This window comes from Homo sapiens, chromosome 6 (assembly GCF_000001405.40).
Source record: "Homo sapiens chromosome 6, GRCh38.p14 Primary Assembly".
Taxonomy (NCBI): Eukaryota; Metazoa; Chordata; class Mammalia; order Primates; family Hominidae; genus Homo; species Homo sapiens.
This window is the reverse complement of record NC_000006.12, coordinates 108,643,890-108,666,296: the sequence shown is the minus strand read 5'-3', so window position 1 is coordinate 108,666,296 and position 22,407 is coordinate 108,643,890. Positions and strand designations below refer to the sequence as shown.

Here is a 22,407-nt window from a genome sequence, read left to right as displayed (position 1 = left end):
GGCAAACTACTTAACCTCTCTGGGCTACCTGCTTGCCCATTTGTCAGTATACCTAGTTGCATGGTACATATTTCAGCCTACTGCAGTTTCACATGCTTTAGTGCATTTGATTCTTGTAATAACCCTGTGAAGTAATGGGGGCTATTATCCTCATTTTATAAAACTGGAAGTTGAGACTCAGAGACCTAAGACACAACCATAGTGGTAGCAAGAAAGTGGTAGAAGTGGGCCTGAACCTCAATTCCTGATTTCAATCAAATGCTTTTTCTTACATCACACTGCCTGATCTTTGTGGTTCTGAGAACATTAAAATGCCACAATTGAAAAAATCTCCATCACCATTCACAACCTGTGTCACTCTATGTTTGGAAACTGCTGATATCATTTATAGTTTGGTGAACAAGCAGAAGCACACGAGTAAGTACTCCCTCATACAAACACCTGTGTTTTCAAATTAATTTTTTGGCTTTTTTTTTTTTTTTTTCTAAGAGATAGGTTCTTGCTTTACCACCCAGGATGGAGTGCAGTGGCACGATCATGACTCACTGCAGCCTCAAACTCCTGGGCACAAGGGATTCTCCTGAGAAGCAGGGGCTACAGGTATGTGTCACCACACCCAGCTAATTTTTTAAGTTTTCTGTAGAGACAGAGTCTTGCTATGTTGCCCATGCTGGTCTCTGACTCCTAGCCTCAAGCAATTCCTGCTTCAGTCTCCCATAGTTGTGGGATTATAGGCGTGAGACACTGTGCCTGGCCTCTTACTTTTTTAAAGGTTTAGCTCTTGAGTGCTAGCTAATAAAGATGCTTAGTACTAAGATAAAGAATAATTAACAGATTTTGCTTCTGTTAGAAATATTCATATATGAAAGAGTCTAGAATACATATTCTGCAGGCAAATTAGAAGTACCTGCCGATCATTACTTTACAAGGAAAAAAAGATGAAGAACATGTAACACTGAAGATTGACAAAAGCGGTGACGGACCAGAGAGTCTTTCTAGGAAAGCCCTTTGGCTGGGATCCTTAACCCTGAAGTACGACCCAAGCTTCCCATCCCTCTCCTTCTCTTCTCATCCATCCATCAAGTAGGGCAACCTGCGTCACAGGCCAGTGAGGACAACTGGATGCAAAAAAAGAATGCGATCTCTGAATGCGTACGTGTTCTCTTCACGAGCAGTAGATTTCTGAACTATCAGCAAACTGTGCGGGGGAAGGGGGGCACCTGACAGCCCTATTTGGTTTGCAGGTAAAACCCTGAGATGGAACTGGCTGGGAGCCATATTATGTGCACCACTGCTCCATGGTTTTCAGTGTGGAATAAAGTTCAAAGTAAAGAGAAGACAGGCTCCCCCAGAGATCCCCCCTCATCCCCATATTGTTATTTTTATGCCATAGCATTCGGCACTGACCTGCTTTGCCCACTTCCCCTTCCTCAGTGATCCTTCAGCCTGGCACCCAGCTCTGAGATGAGGCCTGCTTAGCACCAGTGAAGTTCCCCACGTTCAAACCAACAACATTCTGTGTGGAGATGAGGGAATCAAAGTTAAAATCCAACCCATCAGCATCCATGAGTTCACTACGGATAATGGACTCCATGTCACATTCCAAGCTCCCATTGAACATGTCCAGGTCCAAGTCGCTGGGGAACTTCTCATGGCCCATGACGGGCAGGTTTGCACTAGTTGAGTACAAGGAGGAGCCTGAGAGAGAGTCCGAGAGGGTTTGCATAGACTGGCTGACAGGAGACTGCTGCTGGTGTTTGGCTGACCCAAGGCTGCTGGACTCACTCAAGCCCATGTTGCTGACAGAATTCGACAAGGCACGGCTGCCACCAAGAGCGCCCTGGGTTTGGTGCTGGTGGTGGAGCAAGTTCTGATTGACCAAACTTCCCTGGTTAGGCTGGGCAGCAAAGGACATCATCGGATCATTGCGAAGCATCACGTTCCGGCGGGAATTCTGGGCAGACACAGCGGTGCTGGCCTGAGACATCAAGGGGTCCGACTGTGTCATCATGACATCGCTGTGGCTAAGTGAGTCCGAAGTGAGCAGGTCCTGGAGTGTCTGGTTACCATAGTGTGACATGGAAGAGAAGGTAGCTGGCTTGTTCTCTTGGATGGTCTGCATGGGAGACTGGCGTAGGGAGTTCAGAGATGAAGGTCCGAACACCGTGCTGTTAAAGGAGCTGGTTGGGGAGCCCAGGCCCGAGCCCTTGGTGGTATACGGGAAGCTAGAGCTCCGCTGCATGAGTCCCCCAGTGGGCGATGGCTGGGATGGCGGGAGCGTGATGTTATCCAGCAGGTCGTCCATGAGGTTTTCAGTCAGCCCATCATTCAGATTCATGGTGCCTGCCATATCAGTCAGCCGTGGCAGTTCCACCGTGCACGGCTTGCTTACTGAAGGTGACAGGCTGGCTGAGCTGCTGTAGAGCATGGGCGAGAGAGGCGCATCATCGTCCTGGACTTCATCCAACTCTGTGCTTGCCATGATGGGCGACAGGCGGCCACTGACTGTGCTGGCGTTAGAATTGGTGCGTGAACGGAAGTCCGTCCACGCATCCAGCTCATCACTGCTGCGTGACGTGGGGCTGCCAGGCCACTTGGAGAGCTGGGAGGGACTGTCGTCAGCTGATTCGGGGGCTGTCTGCAGGGCTGCCTTCTTCTTGGCTGCGCGGCCACGGCTCTTGGTATACTTGTTGCTATTGTCCATGGAGACAGCCCGCCGCCGGGGGGCTTTTCCGCTCTTCCCCCCATCAGGGTTGATGATCCACCAAGAGCTCTTGCCAGTTCCCTCATTCTGGACCCGCATGAATCGACTATGCAGTGACAGGTTGTGCCGGATGGAGTTCTGCAGGGAGAAAAGAAAATACAGAGTATGAACCAGAATGGTCCAAAACCGAGCACCCAGATGATATAGTAAATCAGACTCCTCATTCATTTTTTATTTTATTTTTTTGAGACAAGGTCTCACTCTGCTGCCCATGCTGGAATGCAGTGGTGCAGCCTCAACCTCCTGGGCTGAAGCGATCCTGAAGCACCTGTAACTGGGACTACAGGCGCATGCCACCAAGCCCAGTTAATTGTTGTATTTTTTGTACAGATGGGGTTTTCCACGTTACCCAGGCTGGTCTCAAACTCCTGGACTCAAGAGATCCTCCCACGTTGGCCTCCCAAAGTGCTAGGATTATAGGCATGAGCCACCGTGCTGGCCAACTCCTCATTTTTTAAAGCTGCCTCAATTTCAAAGGTTAAAAAAAATCCATCCTAATTCAAAAAGACACATATATGCATGACCCTCTTTGAGAATAAAATGACATGTTAAATGGCAGTTTTCATATCTAGGGGGAAGGGAGATGATTTCATGTCCAAGAGATGCTGGGAATAGATAAGCTCACTGATAGTAGTTTTCCTCAAATTCCTGGCCTTTCTGTAATTATATTGCCCATATTGAAAGGCCCCTAATTACTGGCCTTTCTGTAATTATATTGCCCATATTGAAGTTCACACTTGGAATTTACTACCACACTCCTCTGTCCCCTGCACTTTGCAACAAACTTCCCCGGCTCTCTAAGGGTAATTAATCACCTGGTGGAGGGCTATTTTATTTTCTCATGGTCCCCTCCTCCACTAGTATAGAGGCACAACGTCTACCTTTTCTTAACTACTTCTGTGAATGAAGAACCGATGAGAATTTTTACCTAACCTTTCTATGACTCCATCTCATCCTGCCAGATTTTACACCTTACCATGTAACTCTTGCAGACATAAGAAGTGTAGAGCAGGATTTGCCAGGTTGATTAGAGAAGTAGGCAAGTCTCCCATTCAGAAGAATTCAAATAATTTATATAGACACTTGCCTGTCAAGTTAGTGTGGGCTGAGCATAGTAACTTCCTTAGAAAGAGTACAGTATGAAAAGGGGGGAAAAGAGCAACTTTAGAGTGGAGAAACTGACAAACACTATTTCAGTAGGTGATCGGGGTCAATATCTACAAGGATAAGATGAGCTGATAATATGTACCCTTGATATGACATGATGAGAATGGCACCTTCTGTGGTCTGCCTTCCAAAGCCCATAACCTCAGTCTAAGCATGAGAAAGACATCAGACACATTTCAATTAAGGGACATTTACAAAATGCCTAGTCAGTACTTCTCAAAATAGTCACAGCCTAGAAGAGCCTAAGGAGATATGACGGCTAAAGGTAATATGGTATGCTGGATGGAATCCTGGAACAAAAAAAAACATTAAGTGAAAATGAAAGAAATCTGAAGAAAGTAAAAACTTAAGTTAATAATAATATATCCATATTGATTCATCAGTTGTGACAAATGTCACATACTGTAAGATGTTAACCACAGGGGAAACTTGATATTGGGTGTATGGGAACTCTCTACTATCTCTGCAACTTTTCTGTAAATTTAAAAGTATCCTAAAATAAATATTTACTTAAAAAGTAGGGCAAAATACCCTCAAAACTCCATCTTGCAAGAATTCTCCTCCTGGCTTGGCAAATACACCCAGTTGACAGTGATGACCCAGATTCAGTCCTATCTCTGCCACTGACCAACCATGTGACCCTGAACAAATCTAATTTGTCTGCAACAACTGCAGTTCCCCACCTTCATTATGGCTATAATCATATCCAAACCATCTCTGTACAGGGATGATGTAAGGGTGACACATGATATATTTCAGAAGCCAGTCATGCTATGAAGTCAGGGTGTTCTTATTGCTATTATAAAACACAGAGTCCATGGTGGAGAGAGTTCATGGCCTGCAGCAGGCTCATTCTAATCTGTAAAATGCCTCCTGCAGTAAAAGGGAGGAGCTGATGAATCTGTATGCTCCACATCCGGAACAGTACCTGCAGGCCAGATGAGTTTTTATTTGCACGTTAAAGACAAAAGATACTCCTGATGCTACTGTCCATATATTAAATATGGACAATCCTAAAAGTTATATATACATATATATATATTTGTTTAAATTGGCAATCACGAACTGTATTCATGTAGAAGATACAAACACATGCTTCTACCAGAATGTTCCCCCCGCCGCCCGAGACAGAGTCCCACTCTGTCACCCAGGCTGGAGTGCAATGGCTTGATCTCGGCTCACTGCAACCTCCGCCTCCAGGGTTCAAGTGATTCTCCCACCTCAGCCTCCCGAGTAGCTGGGGTTACAGGTGCGTGCCACCACACCTGGCTAATTTTTGTATTTTCGTATTTTCTTTTTTTTATTTGAGATAGAGTCTCGCTCTGTTGCCCAGGTTGGAGTGCAGTGGCGTGATCTCGGCTCACTGCAAGCTCTGCCTCCCAGGTTCACGCCATTCTCCTGCCTCAGCCTCCCGAGTAGCTAGGACTACAGGCACCCGCCACCATGCCCAGCTAATTTTTTGTATTTTTAGTAGAGACTGGGTTTCTACTTGTTGCAAAGTGCAGGGGACAGAGAAGTGTGGTAGTAACCCTGTCTCTACATCGTGTTAGCCAGGATGGTCTCGATCTCCTGACCTCGTGACCCACCCGCCTCGGCCTCCCAAAGTGCTGGGATTACAGGCATGAGCCACCATGCCCGGCCTAATTTTTGTATTTTAACTAGAGACAGGGTTTCACTATGTTGGCCAGGCTGGTCTCAAACTCCTGACATCAAGTGATCTGCCCACCTTGGCCTCCCCACCCAAGTGCTGGGATTACAGGCATGAGCCACCACGCCCAGCCCAGAATGTTTTAAAAACACAGAATGTCAGCAGGATTTTACCATTAGTAAATAATCCAAAATACTATGCTTCACATGTAGGAAGGGCCTGTAGTTCAGGATAGGCAATAAGCATTAGCAATCATGGGTCATAAGTTGGCATTTCTACAACTGCGTTTGAGAGAAGAACATAAGCAACATGCTGAGTATCTGATAAGGCAAATGTTGCCCAGGAGACTATATATCCTGATTCCTTTTACGGTTTTTAAAAAGAATAATGGCATCTCTACTAATGGTCCGGATAGTACACTTCTTTAAAAAGTAAAACAATTTCTCTATGCAATAGGTATGAAGCATGCTCTCAACATGTACTCTGCAGTGTTCAGAAAGCAGGCAAGTACAGGTGGATCTACAATTCAGGTCACTAGATATATTAAATAAAAACAAACTCAAGCTTCTAAGTGAAAAAACACGGAGGTCCCGAGGCTAAATGGAAATGTGGACACCTACCCTAAGTACTCCCACTCTGTCCAGCCCCCTCTGCGTTAGATTCTGGAAGGAGATCACACCAACACACAGAATTAACTAGAATGACCAGTCAAGTATTCAGCTATACCCCCTTAAAAAGCATTTAGGGAACAATATTTTAAAATGTACTTTAGCATCACCAATTCCAACCCAACTGAGAAAAAGTGTGAAACATCTTATAGAACTGCAAAATGCCCCACATAAATTTTCTGATGGCCATCTATCACAATTCTAACCTCCAACAACGTATGCGTATAGTTTTATAAAATTAAAAGCTACACAGGGTTAAAATCTGGACACAGATATTAAGCTTCTACAAGGGCATGTGGTAAAAAGGGGCTGGAACACCCACATCCAGGGCCATAACCACAGGGTGTTCGGGTGGGAAAGGACAATGGAGACTGCCCACCCACCCAGGTCCCCTAATTGCAAGGATGACAGTGCCTGCCAGATTACAGCACTGTCAGTTACTGAGCCAGAGTGTTTTAGATTCATCGTCTCTAATCCTCATAATAAACCTGCAAGAATTAGTATGTCAGTGCCCTAATTTTATATAAGAAGACTCAGGCTGAGAGATATTAAATAACTTAATGCAAGGTCCCACAGCTACTGTTCACAAGAGCCAAAACTGACACTGGGTTTCCTAAACTCCAATGCACTGCTTTTTCTACAACCTTTCATATAGGCCTCTTACCAAATTATGCAGAAGTCACCATTTAATCTACTTGGGCTAACAGTTAAACAGATTATCTAAAGAATCATTTCACATTTAAGAAAGAATAGGAATATAAAAGCACAATCTTACTATTTTAATTTGTTTATGAAATAGTTACGGGTATTTGGTGGGCCCTTCCTAAAAAAAAATTTTTTTTTAAGATTTTAAAAACAAAGTCTGAGCCAGGCACAGTGCCTGACGCCTATAATTCCAGTACTTTGGGACACTGAGGCAGACGGATCGCTTGAGCTCAGGAGTTCAAGACCAGCCTGGGCAACATGGCAAAACCCTGTCTCTACAAAAAATACAAAAATTAGCTAGGTGTGGTGGCATGTACCTATAGTCACAGCTACTGGGGAGGCTGAGGTGGGAGGATCACTTGTGCCTGGGAGGCTGAGGCTGCAGTGAGCTGTGATTTCATCACTGCACTCCAGCCTGGGCGACAGAGCACAGCCCTATCTCAAAAAACAAACAAACAAAAAAACACAAAAACCCCAAAAAGCAAACAAAAAAAAGTCTTTCAGAAGAGGAAACCTCAAAGTATGAGCTTATTCTATAGGACTTACTTGTCTTTCTTTAGTAAAGTGGCCATGATCACATTCATTCTAAAGAGGACAGTGGATACCATACAAACCAATGTTGGCCAGGCACGGTGGCTCACACCTGTAATCTTAGCACTTTGGGAGGCCAAGCGGGGATAGATCACCTGAGATCAGGAGTTTGAGACCACGCTGGCCAACGTGGCGAAACCCCATCTCCACTGCACTCCAGCCTGGATGACAGAGTGAGATTCCGTCTCAAAAAAACACACAAAAAACCACAACCCTCCCACCCCCAATATTAACTACTCTTAGATTCTGAAACAAAGCCCAACTTATTAAATAGATGATTAGCTTCAATGGCCAATCTTTGCTTGACTCTCAGTTTAGAGGTTTCTTAGTGGCAGAATGCATTCCCTGGAGCCTATTACCTACAGAAAGTTCAGACAGGTTTTTCCAGTTACATTACTAAGTCAACACAAACAAAAACTGTGCCACCATCATTCTCACAGTCCCCAATCTCAGCAGCCTTCTATTCATACAGGGTGGCCAGCCTTCCATTGACAAAATCCATAATCTGAAGGTAGGGCATTGACAAAGGCCAACAAATATGGCTCATCTGTCCATTTCCAGTTCAAACGCCCAGTTACCCCTCAAAATCAGATGCCAGAAATACATTCTGTTTTCCTCACAGGTCATGATTCTGATTATAGTTAATCCTTGTTATACGCAGGGGACTGGTTCCAGGACCATCTGCATATAACTAAACCTGTGCATACTCCACTCCACAGTCAGCCCCGCAGAAGAAACTCACATGTAAGAGCCAACTCCCCCAGGCCCAGAGGGGGGTTTCACATCCTGGGAATGCTGTGTTTGGTTGAAAAAGAGCTCTATGTAAGTGGACCTGTGCAATTCAAACCTACATTGTTCAAGGCTCAACTGTACTAACTTCTCTACTTAAATGTTGGTAAAGCAGGAAAGGTAAATAAATAGATGCCAGATAAAATACCAGAACTCCAATGTTTCCCCACTTCTTCCCTGGTATCAAAAATTAATGGTGATACAATTTCTGTAATATTTCAAATGTCCCTCCTGCCACCTCAATCCCAGGAAAACTATCATTACAAATATTCTATGATTTTTCACTAATTCGTATGTCACCTTACCAAATAGTCTAAATTTCTAACATTTTACATTAGTTTTGGGATTGGGAGCTGAAGATAAAAAAGGACTGGCTTGACAGAACGAGAATGATTTTTCTAATCACATCTAAATACACATTTTGCTATACCCTTTGAGGCAGGCCAATGGTAACTGGCTGAAGAACTAGGGATGTGCCTTCCTTAAGGCTAAGATAGTAAGGTACGTAATAACCAAGACACCTACTGCTAGAGCTCAGGCAATTGTCACAGTTACTCACTAAAGAAGCTAAGAAGCTACTATGACCCCCAAACCCAAAATCATGTGATTTAAATTCAGTACTTAGAAATCAAGATTTTGATGAAATTACAAGAAAGAAAGATCTCTAGGAAAAAACTTCAGCTTCAGGGACAAATGTACCAGCTTGTCCCCAACGTGGGCCGAAAGGTTTAAAGAACCCTTAAAACACCTCTATCACAATGTGTCTAAAGAGAGTGCAGTGGTAAGAATACTCTTTATTTCATTTTTATGTCCATCTTCTCTTTTACAAAACAATTTACACTGAAGGAAGCCCTGCACTGGGGCAGAAACCCGTTAGGTGTAGTTAATCAGTTACAGAACTGGCAATCAGTGGCATAACCCTTCCAGGAGGCAGGTGCAATAGGTGTGTGAAGGAGGCAGCATGATGGAATTCACATTTCACAGTCCTGCTGCCTAGAGATTCCTTTGTTTGGTCCACCTTGAATAAATCAGCATAAAGATGACTGCACCTAGCAGAATCTGGCAATTATTTTTCTTGTTATAATGAAGACCGTTTTCTATTGCAAGATACAATTATTGCTAATACTAAAGTATCCATGATCTCTACATACATGCTAACTGGTTGTGAAGACACATGGACCCCAAACAGATCAGATTAGGTGTGAGAGAGAAGCTTCCTGAAATGAAAAGTATTCCACCAATAATTTACAAAGGGGATAATTCCCACAGGCAGGATAAAAACATTCTTTGACTATCTCTTGGCTCTTTGGGAAGATTAAATAAAGCTCTGCATGCAAACTACTCAGTGAAGTGCCAAGTACAAAAGCAGCTCCCAACAACTGTTAGATCCCACACGGAAGCAGTGACATCATAAATGTTAACTTACTGTTTTCCGAGCATCATATACTTTAAGCCAAAAGGTTCCAGGGCGGCCCCTTCCAGGAAAGGATTTCAAACTTTAAAAAAGTATTTCAGAGGTGCCGTGCCAGTCAGAAGTAACTGGTAATTTCTTAAATTTTGTACCCTACGTCCGCTTCAGCCCTTCCAAACCATGTTTACCTTGTGGAGACTGTCCACTCACCCAGACACCAGCTGCATGTGCTTCCCCTGGAACACAGAGAGGTTTTTGTCTGGAAGCAACATGTGGTATCAATTTATCTTTCTCAGCAACGACAACAAGAAATCTGCTCACTTTAAAAATAAAAAGCGAGTTGTGTAATTTAACTCTTAAAAGCCCCTGCTTTTTTTTTTTCTTTAAAGACAACCCCCTCCTCTCTCTTTTTTTTTTTGAGGTGGGGTGGGGTGGGGTGGGAGGAGGACTGTCTGGAGCAGCAAAATGAGTTATGGTTAACTCCAAAGCCAGGCCCACTACTTCCCACCAGGCCGACTGCAGGCGTCTCCTGGTCCTTACAAGGAATTTCAGGGGAAAGCACTGGAAAGGACTGTCTTTCAATACAGTGCTCACCCACTTTGTGTACAGGACCAGCATTTCAAGTGGGTCTCACTGCTTGACTTGTGGGTACTGACAATTCAGAATGAGGTTGCCAAATGCCTGAATTCTAACATACGCGTCTGCTGAACCACAGATGACAAAGGTTTTTTGAACAGCCCAATGGAACCCCAATTCACAGGGAGACCCAGAGGTCTGCGTGCCACAGGAGAGCACTGCAAACAGCTAGCTTCAGGAGCAGGCCCGGGTGGGCGCCTTCGGTGTATAATGACAGGATCTTTCAAAGGCAATTCTCTGGAAGAGGCCCTCAATTTCCCTTCAGTAGTAGTTCTTCACCCCGCCTATTAGAATCACCTGGGGAGACTTTAAACACTCACATCCCAGTCTCAGAGGTTTTGATTCAATAGATGGGGTAAGGCCTGGATATAGGTACATTTTTACAGCTCCCCAGATTATTCTAATGTGCAATTAGGGCCAAGAACCAATGGTCTTTCCTCCTTATATTTCCATTGACTGAGGATCTGATTCCAATCTAATGATTCCCAGTCTCCTTAGATCTGGTAACATAGCACAGTAACTTCCTTTAAGTCCAAGTTTCCATCATTGAGAAGATAAAGGTGAGAACTGGGATGAGAGATTAAAGCTGTGATTTTATGTGCAGAATAAGAGCTAGGGTAATTTTATTTTATTTTAGGTAACTGAGGTCCAGATCTGCTTTTCTTTTGAAAATCATGAGGTGAGGGGAAAGATCCTTGACCTTACCCTGCCTTGGGGACAGTCACCTCATTCTGCTCTGTGATGCTTCTCCACCCAGCATGCACAGGCATGGACAGAAAGAAGGCATGTGGACTTTCACAAAACTAGGAATTGATATAGCCAAAGAAGGAAGGAATGGAACACTAACTGATCCTTGTAATTTCCTTAGATATTGCTAGAATCTAGTTTTTAGCTGCCTACTCCCTTCTGCTAGATTTTATCTACTTTGGGACTAAGATGTTGTTCAAAAGCAGGTGCAGAAAGTATGACAGCATAAAAATGTATCTGAGATCAGAGAGAGTTATTACGTCATATATAATACCAGCTATAATGGCCAAAACCAATTTTCAGATTGAGAAGAAAACATAAACTTTCATGTAAAAGATTGCACAAACAACCTGATATGTAAATCTAGCTCCACTCTACTCTTGCCTAAAGCTTAAAAGTTTAAACCATTAAGGGACTTAAAAAAAAAAAAAAAGACGATGCTCTAAAGTAAACATTGTTGGGAACTTGGCTGAATAATTAAATTTCCAGTTAGAAACAAGATTTCCCGTTAAACTGCTGACGATAACCCTCTACCCACAGAGATGGCCTTTGGAAACTAACATTTAAGTTTTCAAGCAGCAAGCAAGCGACAGGTTCTGGTCCCTCATAAAAAGAATAAAATCATCATCTGGTCATCAGAATAATGAATCAATTTTCTATCCAAACAAAATGAGACATATGAGGCTTTCCCAAGGGGAGAAAGGGCTGGGTACACAATTTATCCTGCCCTCAACTGAAAAAGAAATCCTAGATAGGAAGAAAGTTCTCTTAAATAGCATGAAAAAGATGACTACCACTATACTCCACACACGGTTCTGTTGGGTTTTCTAGGGTGGATTTTATTTTCATATTAATTATTATTATTTTTTCTTTTAGTAATCTTCTTTTCAAGCTCTTCCACAGCTGTTTGTGCTCTTGGAGGGCAAGAGAGAACATTCCATTCCTCACAGCCAAACCTGCACTTCCGGCACACAGAGAACCCTGGCAGTCTTGCAACCTCTGCCCACACCCACTCCCTGCAGCATCCTGCCCCTCCCCACAAACTCTCCTATTTCTAGCCCCAGGTCCCTCTCCCCATAGACTGAGGAAGAAGCATCTAAAGGCGTGCAGTCAGCGAGATGACAGTCCCAGAAAGTAGGTTAAAGCTGCAGCATTTGGATGCCCCTGTTGTCTTTCTCCAAGCTTCTCCTGTGATGTTATTGAATCTGTTTCCCCTTCCCACAAGGTGCTCAGCAAACACATGCTACTGAAATTCTCTTTTAAGACCATGCTCAAATTAGCCACACAAAATGGTTGCCTCAAAGAGTTAACAGGCATGAAGTTATAAAAGCCATGAAGTGGAACAGAAATAGTTTTATTATTAATATTCACTTAGCTTAAACAAAATAAGGCTGCACCTTTTTCCAGTTTGAAAACTTACTGTGTGTGGAAATCGAATAAAAGGGCATAGGAAACATGCATCCAGAACTCAGGAGCACATCCAAGAATTTAGCATCACTTTCATGACATATGACAAGCAACCAGGGCAGGAAGCTCAGTAAAAATAGCAATAGCTGGGGAACATGGAGAGGGCCAGGAAACCCTCTTTCTATGAAACAGGCAGCCCCAACTTCACAGTCGCAGACCCTGAGGACCAAAGAGGCACAGTGCCACACCTGAATCCAATCAGCTCCTAAGTGTCAACAGAGCAGAGACAGACTCACACCACCTGGCCTTGAGGTGTAACCCACCACCCAGAAAGAGAACATTAGTACCAATGTCTGGATTAGCACACTAATAGCAAAGATAAAATGCAGGGTGCAGTCTGGCTCTTTAAACCAGATACCATGTTTTACTATAGCTTTAGCACCCGGCAGAGGGCCTGGTACATAGTAGGGGGTCAAAAAATTGTATCTGTTTAACCATTGAATTAATGGGAAGGGGGCAGGAGCCACAAAATAGACCTGAATTATACTTTAACATGAGATGTGATAAAACATTGAGACCAAAGAATGTCCTACATGAGTGAAGATGGAAGTAAGCTTCCACTGCAAAATGTGAAGTAGCATCTAGGTTGTTCTCAGGTTGAAAAGTCTCATCACTGGTATTAACTTCAATTAAACAGCCCAATTTCCAAAAACCTGAAAATATATACCAACAAGTAGGCTTTAAGGTCTCTAGAATAAGAGATGGAAAGAAGGGCAAACTGATAGGGTGTGTGCTACTCGGTGGAGCAAGGCCTTAGCAGGCATTTCAGGTCCATCCAGGGTGAAGAGCCGGCTCTCCACCTGTCATGGGATGCCATGGGGCCCCCATTACTTGGTAATTCAGTTGGCTCAGAGTCCCAGGCACACTCAAAACCACAAATAACACATTCTGGTTCTAAAGTCTCCTCTACACAAGCACCTAGGTAACAAGAGAAATCCCAAATCAAGTCTACTTCACCTACAATCTGAAGGAAATTCATGTATGTGGTGCCTACCAGGGCCAATGCTCTGTGCTTGACAAATTTGATCTCATTTTATTTTCTAAACAAGCCTGTCAGGAGGAAACTGAGGTGCAGAAAGGTTAAGCAATTTGTCTAGTGGGTGGTGGTGCTAGAAATCAAGCCTGAGGCTAACTTCAAAAGTGAAGCTCTCACCACTGCACTGTGTATTTCCTTCTGAAGTCACCAAACTGACCAAGGAGGGAGGCACCACTAACAAGTGACCAAGGAATAAGAAGCTTTAAAGACTACAAAATCTGTGTGATTCAATTAAATGTTCAGCATGTGGTCCCTAGGCTTATGAAAGGGATGGAAAATGTGGAAAAATGATAAGCCATGAAGCAAGCCTTGTTGGAGCCACATCTGCCCATCTGCTAACACTAATTTTTTAGAAATGACACCTTTTCTCAGACAGACCTCAAAGGGACACTACTATCATGTCCTAACCTGAACTGGGATCACTATTTTGGGGAATGCCCAAATATTACTATAGCCATAAACTGAACTTCTACATATCCAGGCTTTCCTTGGTGGCACGTCTGGAGGCTTCTGTGTTCTGGGAGAATTAGCCTGTGACTACGTCAAGCCAATATCACCTGGCTGTCCCTGGCAGGCCTATTCAGGCCCTAAAACAGCTGGCACCACGTTACGGATCCTCAAGCCAGAAACATCAAGCAAATGTCTGCTAGTGCCTGGCCCTTGCTATTATGAGGCTTAATCTGAAACAGGGACTCAGCTCTATACTATTTAAAACATGTAATTAGTTTATTATTGAGCCAGAAAAGATGAGCTTGCTCTAAAACTATGTGAATCTTAAAATATGATGCCTTTTGCCTGCCAACTGACGACGTGATCAGGATACTTCTGTTTAACCTCAATCAAAAACTCTGGTAGAAAACTGCTTTAAGGTTACATATGCCTACTATTTTATTATTTGTCTTCTGGCATCAAAACCTGCAGAAACAAATCACTGACAATGCAAGCACATTACAGGGATGGATGTGGAGGTGCTGAGTGGGTGAGTTAAACAGCTTGAGAGTTTGACATCTGAAATCCAGGAAAACTGCTTTTCTGTTCTTAGTTTACAATCCCTTCCTTCACATGAAATTTACTGGCTTTAGCGTCACACATACAAACACAACTGCTTCTAGCTCTTCAGATGTTATGGCTCAGAAAAACCGTTCCTTTTTGTCTTGTTATTTCAAGAGCAACTGATTTCTTTTTGGTAGCTCTGAAATATATGCCAGTGTGTGGGCACAGTCACACAGCTACGCACAGGCCCACACCCTGGAAAGATTGGAAGGAGTGGAGACACATTTTTCAGCTAGGAAAGGAAAAAGTTTGGGTTAGCATTTATAAAACAGACAAGTGTGCATGCATTTGGAAGCAGGCTATCTTCCAAGTGTCAATGTTAATTATCCTAATAGTCACTGTAAATCAAGGTGTTACCAGTGAAAGAAGCAGAGAAAGTAAATGCTACACACCAGAATACCCCATGTTGGCTACTGCAAACAAAACAATTGATGTATATTTTCTGTACGGAAATAAAGAGTACGATGCAGTCAATTCTGTAAAATGACTTGGGCTAATAGTATCTTCTGTCCCCTCCACACCTCACTGAAATTCAGCTCTAATGAGGAGCCTCCCGAGGGACTGCCTTCTTTAACCTATACCTCATCTGCATATTCAGTATTTCACCATAGTGGTTTTGCAAGATTTTTTTTTCTTGTTCAAAACCACAGGATGCAAAAGCGGCTGATGACCAATATAATGGTATTATGAAATGCTGACCAAGTCAACTATTTATTCCACGACACTCCTGGGTGCTAATTACACACACAGATGAGCATCAGAAAGCTCAAAAGTTCACAAAAAAAGATCAAATAAAGAAAGGACATTTCCAGTAACTAAAGAACTAGGCACTGATTGCATTTTTCTGAAAAAACATTCACTGAGCCACTCAGATACCCCTGTATTCTAACTTAAAATCTAGGGTGTTCCCAAATGTGTAAGTTAATTATTAGCACTACCCCTAAACTATGATGAATGAAGCAGACTGAATGCACATGAGATAAAATCATAGTTTTTCTAAAGGCCATAACAGAAATGCAGTATTTTATTGTAGCAGGCTCTAATCTACTTCATGTACATGCTAGGTAAACTTGAAAGCACTTAAGAAACTGGAAATACAAGCATCAGTAGTGTAATATCTATCACCCAAAGGGCAGGAGAAATAGTATTAACTGGCAAGGACAGTCATGCAAGAGACTATAAAAGCTGAACACACAGTAGAAATAGAAAATTCCTATAACTGGGTGCCTCAGGGGCTAAAAGAACGTAGGAAACAGTTCTTTTAGACCCTGCTTGTGGCTGGAGGAGACAGAAGAGTCTAAGAGGGAGGGGTCAGAATACGGTGGAGAGTTGGAGGGTGAGCCCACTCCTCAACCAGCACGTGTCCCTGTGCTCCAGGGCTCACTGGTCCCACCATATTAGCAGTCAGTGACTCTAAGGGCATTCCTGAGGATGCAGGACCCCTGACCTTATAACTACCTCCTTGGTTAAGTCTGAGTTGGCAGGGTCAGCCCTTGGATTATCTCCCCAAACTTTCTGGAACTCTTTAACTTGGTCCTCCTGAAATTTCCAGCCCTTTCCCTTTAGTCAGGTTTTTCATTTGCTAATGGGAACGATGTGTGGGCTCATAATACGATCAGGTACTAGGTCTTTCCCTAAGGATTAACAAATCATTAAATATATGGGGGCCATTGAGAGTAATCCCTTCACATCAAGACAAGGGAGGACAAATATGAAGAAACAGATGTTTCTGAGCCATTTTCAGGTTCAAAGTAACACACAACAAACGTCAAGTAACACACAACTCTCTGAGGCATTATGTGGAATGTTAGCTGTTTCTCTAGACACAAGCTCATCAGATCCTTTCAAACAGCTATAAACTAAGGAGTTTTCTGAAGAAAGACAGCTGAGTCCTGATATTAATTTGTGGATAGAAAGGGAAGTAGGGGCCAGGCACAGGGCTCACACCTGTAATCCCAGCACTTTAGGAGGCAGAGGCAGACAAACGGCTTGAGCCTGGGAAGTGGAGGTTGCCATGAGCCAAGATCATGTCACTGCATTCCAGCTTGGGCAACACAGTGAGACCCCCATCTCAAAAAAAAAAAAAAAAAAAAAAAAAAGCTGAGGGTGGTGGTGAACTAGGGATATCAGCTACTTATAAGATTAACAAATCTCCATTTGGAGAACAATTTGCCAGGGGTTTCTTGTGTTACTGAATGTCTTTGCTTTGTCAAGCAAAGTACTGACGGGTCTTTGTTCTAGACTATCTTTCAAGGTAGGACTATCTTTCATCTGCACAGTGAGCAGCCTTGAAAGGTAGTCATAGTGTCTCCCTCCAGAGCAAAGGGCAGACATACTTACTGCCTATTACAAATGATTTAAGATCCCTAAGCTCAAGGTTCCTGCACAACCCACTACATGTGCAGCCATCAACCTGGGCCTATCTATGTCACCCCTGTGGGATTCGGGGGCAAGGAAGAACCAATGCAAAATAGACTACTGCTCATGCTGGCTGCTGTGCCATGAGAGAATAACAGATCCCTTTGCCTCTGACCCAAGAGTTTGGCGTCTGGTAGGGGCAAATCTGAGACACTTGTAGTCCTTTTTTTTTTTTTTTTTTTTTTTTTAAGAGATAGGTTCCCACTCTGTTACCCAGGCTGGAACGCACTGGAGTGCAGTGGTATAACCACAGTTCACTGCAGCCTTGAGCTCCTGGGCTCAAGTGATCCTCCTACCTCAGCTTCCTGAGAAGCTGGAAACACAGGTGTGCGCCCCTACACTTCACTAATTTTTTATTTTTTTTTGTAGAGATGGGGTCTCACTATGTTTTCCAGGCTGGTCTCAAACTCCAGGCCTCAAGCGAACCTCCTACCTCAGCCTTCCAAAGTGCTGGGATTACAGGTGTGAGCCACTGTGCCTGGCCACTTTGCCATTCTTGACAGTCCACTGCTTTAGCTTGTGAACTGATTATTTCCTTAACCATGAAAGATAAAATTGGGCAATGATCATCTCTAGCCATCTTTCTTCTCTTCTCCTATGTAAAATAAGAAGGAATACAAGATAATAGGATGAGAAACAAAAAGCAAGAGAGGCAGACATACATGGCTCCAGCACTCTGAATGCTCTGACCTGGCTCTGCCAACGACCCTTAAGGCTTTACGACAATAAACCATTAATCAAAGGGAGCAGGGGTGAGAAGACCCCCAGAGAGTCATTTTCAGTGTTTCATCTACATTAGTCACCATCTTTTTCAGCTGTTACTCAATGTTGCGGTTTGCTTGTGGGAAATAGAGCTAAGTGAGCAGCAGGTTTAGGTTTATTTCTTTTTACCTTCCTCTTCCACCAATACAAGAACAGACACCTTATGTCCATTCCTACTCCCATCTCCCTGACAACTGGGCTGCCTCATCTCAAGGCAGTCCTAACAGTACTGAGTTTCTGCAGGGTCCAGACAGATTCCATTATGGAGTCCTGGGCCAGGAAACATTTCTCCTCAGTTCTTCGACTTGTCTATGGACTGCCCTCAATTTTACCTTGGCAGAGGTGCTTCCAGGTCTCTCCCCTCGCCACAGTGACTTTGCTGTTGTAAAGTGTCGTGAATGTAGACACCTAGGATTCCCTCCTCTTTCCACTTAGCTCTCCCACATAAATTTTCTTCTTTCTTCTGACAGTATTTAGTAGCTTTAGATCTCTGTGAAGGAAAATGGACTAGGCATTGCCTGTGAACCAACAGCAAACACATACGATGACATTTATAGACTCTCTCCAAGTTTCCAAAAAAAGAGTTAATTTTCTAGCTTATTAATGATGAGCCAGGAGGCTTTATCATGAAATACAGAATTTTATGACATCTCATTTGCCACAGTTTTGTAAAGAGGAAATTGGTATTTTCTTTTCCCTCCCCTTTCCTCTTGGATAACCTATTTCAATTTTGGCAAAAGGAGGGGGTATATTCACTATGGTGTTCACGGACATCTACATGTCTAGTACCTCTGAAATGATACTGGATTGTTGCCACATGGTCAAATAATGTGCTCTTTGATAATTATCAATTAGAATGCTATAAAATGGGCCAGTAGTTCCACTCTGCTCATACTGTGTGGTGTTTTGGCCACCAAACACAGGCCTTCTTTGGTTTCTCCCTACATCAATCAGAAAATTCTGTTAATTTGCTGTGATGCTATTTGTGGACATGCATGGAAAAGAATGCAGGCATCCAGGAGTAAATTAGGGTCAACTCACTCCACTTAGGCAGCAGGACACCAGCACAGCACTCCAGCTACAATAAACATTATGCAGGGACCCCAGTTTGGGCTGAGTGGCAAGGCCTGCAGAAATAAGGAACTATTAGCAACAACTTGCAAGTAATCAATTTTTAATGCTTCCAGTCTAGGGTAGCTGCCAAAGAATTTGGCCAAAGCCATCATTTTAAAAACACCAATTTAAGCTACAGTGAGGTATTCTTACTATAGTAAACAGGTTTTAGTTTGTCTGTCTAAATTCATATATGAGGTTTAAAAACAGAAAAAAGTAAGGTTTAAAATTTAAATACTACTTGGACATTTTAAAACTCCCGTGGTTTTTCTGTCCTTTTACCTGATAGCTCTCTTTTGTGCAGTACTACGCTTAGTGATGATTATTACAATTGTTATTGGGGGGAAGGTACATAAGATATGGAGAAGTCACATCAGATCATAAGAAGGAAAGTGGGAAGAGTTAGATAGCAAAAGAGATACATCTCTTTCTTTTATGTTGGAGATGCCTGGCATGTGGAAGACTCAACACATTTTCTCGAAAGCATAAATGAATTCTCCCTTTATTTTCTCTTCTGAACTAAACCATGCTGAGTAAGGTTAGCATCTGCAATAAAATGCAGGAGGAAAGAAGCAGACATTCTTCCAGCACTAAAGAAGTACACATTCTCTTTTCCCAGGTTTCCCATCTCCAAGAAAACCTACCTTTAGCAATCGAAGTCACAGGAATAAACTATCAAACTTAAATAAACTAGGTTATCTGCCTTAAACTTCAGAAGCATTTAGAAGTTTAAAATCTGAATAGAAAATTAAGTTCTATTAGAAGTTATACTCATGCTTCAAAAAGACAACACAATTCAAATACAGCAGTAGAGGACATTTTGTTTTTAATTAAGATTTGGGAAAAAAAAATTTGGATTGGTTGGTGAAAGTGTTAAAGTGGGTGCAAAGTTTTTGAAGGACTGTTTATCACTATCTGTTGATACTGCACACAACCTTTGACTTAGTAGAACAGACTACTCCATTCTTCTCTTATTCATTACTCACACAATGCCAATTTTTAGCTGGGCCCAGACAAAAAGACTACATTCCTCAGCCTTCTTCGAAGTTAGATGTGGCTATGTGACTTAGCTTTGAAAATAGAATGACATGGAAGTGGAAGAGTTCCATGCAAGACTATTTAAAGGCAGCTACTCAGGTGAGAGATGAGTCTCTTCATTCGTGCTGTTTTTCCTCCTTTTGGCCTCCATTCGGATGGACCATGAGGAGACCCTGAGGATGAAAGCCACTTGCTGAGATGAGAGGGCAGAGAATAAGAGGAGTCTGAGCATCAATCACTTCTTACAGTGGCCACACAAGCCCTAGACTTCTTTTACATGAGAATAATTCACTATTAAATTTGTTTTCCATTAGCCAAACCTAATCCTACCTGATAACTCAACAATTCTATTTTTAGGAATTAATTTTACTGACATGCCCTCCTGCATGTTATCTCTGTGTGTATACACACACTCTCTCTCAACTTTAGTATAAATTAGATTTTTTAAAAATTATAAAATTCCAAGCATTAATAATGGTAATTAGAGGTTTCTGTTCATGTTAAGATAATGCAATAGAAACACCTAACAAGAAAGACTTTTATGTGCCTATATTCTATACCTACCCTGATGTATGTGTCATCAGGCACTTTAAAAGTGCTTTTCAGTGAATGACTTGTATGTGTGCTGGGTTCTATCATCTTCTAATGTTGCCGACTGGCAGGGCTAACAGTAATCCTCCTGGCCCTGAAGTTTTAGAAGTTCTCATGTGGAGGCCATTAAGGATAGGGACTTAATACATTTATAGCTAAGAGGCTATATTATGATGAGGCTATTGACACTTCTTGTTTTGGGTCAACCTGGATTTCAAGAAAAAAAAAAAAAAAGCAATTCTGGGGATTCAAGACAAAAAAAATGAATCATGGGAAAGAAGGCTCGAAGAGAGGCTTACATATGGTCTTACCATTTACTGGGAATTAATTCAATGGTAACAGAATATATAGGGTTATTTCTACCAATCATGGGAATTTTGTCTGGGCCAATGCCTTAGCAACAATTTTCACAAAACTATCAGAAAATAACATCAACAGCCAGTGAGCACAGATTATCCACAACATACCAGGATATTGTAACTTGGTTAAGTTTATGCTTTTCTAACTTTGGAGTAACACGAAATGAACAGAAAGTAAGGCAGTCTCCACTCAAGCCCAGAGCATCAAATCTAAAAAATAAAAGTTATTTTTATTAACATTTAATATCATATAACATCAGGGCCAGAGTGGTGGTGGAAGAACTGGAGAGGCCGCAGGTTCAGTCATTCAAATTGGTATTTGCTGAGGTCCTTCCATGCACCAGGCATACAAATGTGAGTGAACAGACAGACATGGTCCCTGGTCTCATTCATAGATTTTATAATTTTGTGGAGTGAGAGGGAGGTAAGGGACAGACATTAATTAAAGCAAACAAATACATACATAATTACAAATTGTGAAAAGTGCTCTGAAGGAAAACAACAGGATACCATAAGAGAAAATAACAAGGTCAGCTGGGTGTACCTAAGACAGACTGGAAAGTCAGGAAAGACTTAAGACCTGCAGGAGGAGCAACTAAGTAATGAAAGCCACTGGGATGGGTTTACCTAGAGAGGATGGAGCGGATGGGTGTACCTAGAGAGGAAATGGAGAAGAGAAAACCTGAGAGTTTCTCATGGGAGTCATGCAACATGAGGGCAGGTAGAGAACAGGGATCAGACAAAAGAAAGAACAGAAGCCACCAGACAGGAGGGGAGTGTGGCGATCGTGCCCAGGAGAGTTTAGTGCTTCAAGGAGAAAGGAGTCACCACTGAAAGATCCAGAAAGAGAGGAGAACAGAGTGTCCATGAGCTTTGGCAACAAGAGGTTATCACTAGTTGCCTTGGCAACAGCAGTATCAAAGGAGTGGTAGGGACAGAAGCCAGGAAAGATGCCAGCAAGGGATCACTACTAATAATAAAAACGCTAACATTTATTAAGTGCATATGAGGTACTAAACACTGTTCTAAGTGTTTCATACGTACTATCTCTGTAAGTCTTCACAACAATGAGGACAATATGGTCCCCATTTTACAGATGAGAAAACTGAAGCTTGCAGAAACCTGCCCAAGACCACATGGATGAGAACTCAAAGGTTTGCACCAGGGCCTAAGCATGATGCAGTGAGGGCCGCAGTGAGGGCCTCAGAGAGGGAGAGGGAACAGGATCTGGAGCCTATAGCCAGGCACTGGCATTGTCCTGACCCTCAAGCCACATGATGGCCTTTTCCAGTGAGGGACATAAAATGGGGCAAAACAATCCTACAGGCTCTACGACTACACTGGGTAACAACGGCCACAGGAACAGTCCTTCCATCTTGCAAAAATACTTACTATCTTGGGGATGGTACATTCTAGAATACAGATTTTGATAAGTTCCCACTTG

At 42.8% G+C, this 22,407-nt stretch overlaps 1 protein-coding gene across 15 annotated transcripts in view, besides 2 other annotated features; it reads right to left on the bottom strand.

Moving 5' to 3' along the window:
• Positions 1–22,407, bottom strand: part of FOXO3 (forkhead box O3) — a 124,950-nt gene that overhangs the window by 18,478 nt on the left and 84,065 nt on the right. For 12 of the 15 annotated variants that reach the window (NM_001415146.1, NM_001415140.1, NM_201559.3 and 9 more), the window contains one exon: positions 1,408–2,842. The exons of 1 other annotated variant lie outside the window; for it this stretch is intronic. In NM_001415146.1, coding sequence (NP_001402075.1) covers positions 1,442–2,803 — 1,362 coding nt within the window. In that variant the 5' untranslated portion in view covers positions 2,804–2,842 and the 3' untranslated portion in view covers positions 1,408–1,441. Of the gene's footprint in view, positions 1–1,407; positions 2,843–9,758; positions 9,973–22,407 lie in introns of those variants that run through there. 2 more of the 15 variants (NM_001415145.1, NM_001415144.1) reach the window with 2 other exon arrangements.
• Positions 1,700–1,900: a silencer, noted in NCBI's record as "peak6015 fragment used in MPRA reporter construct". NCBI's record gives its function as "represses an SCP1 promoter by STARR-seq MPRAs in K562 erythroleukemia cells {active_cell/tissue: K562}" and the evidence as "EXISTENCE:reporter gene assay evidence [ECO:0000049][PMID:32103011]".
• Positions 19,777–20,071: a silencer, noted in NCBI's record as "tiled region #11562; K562 Repressive non-DNase unmatched - State 23:Low". NCBI's record gives its function as "represses a minimal TATA promoter and a strong SV40 promoter by Sharpr-MPRA in K562 cells {active_cell/tissue: K562}" and the evidence as "EXISTENCE:reporter gene assay evidence [ECO:0000049][PMID:27701403]".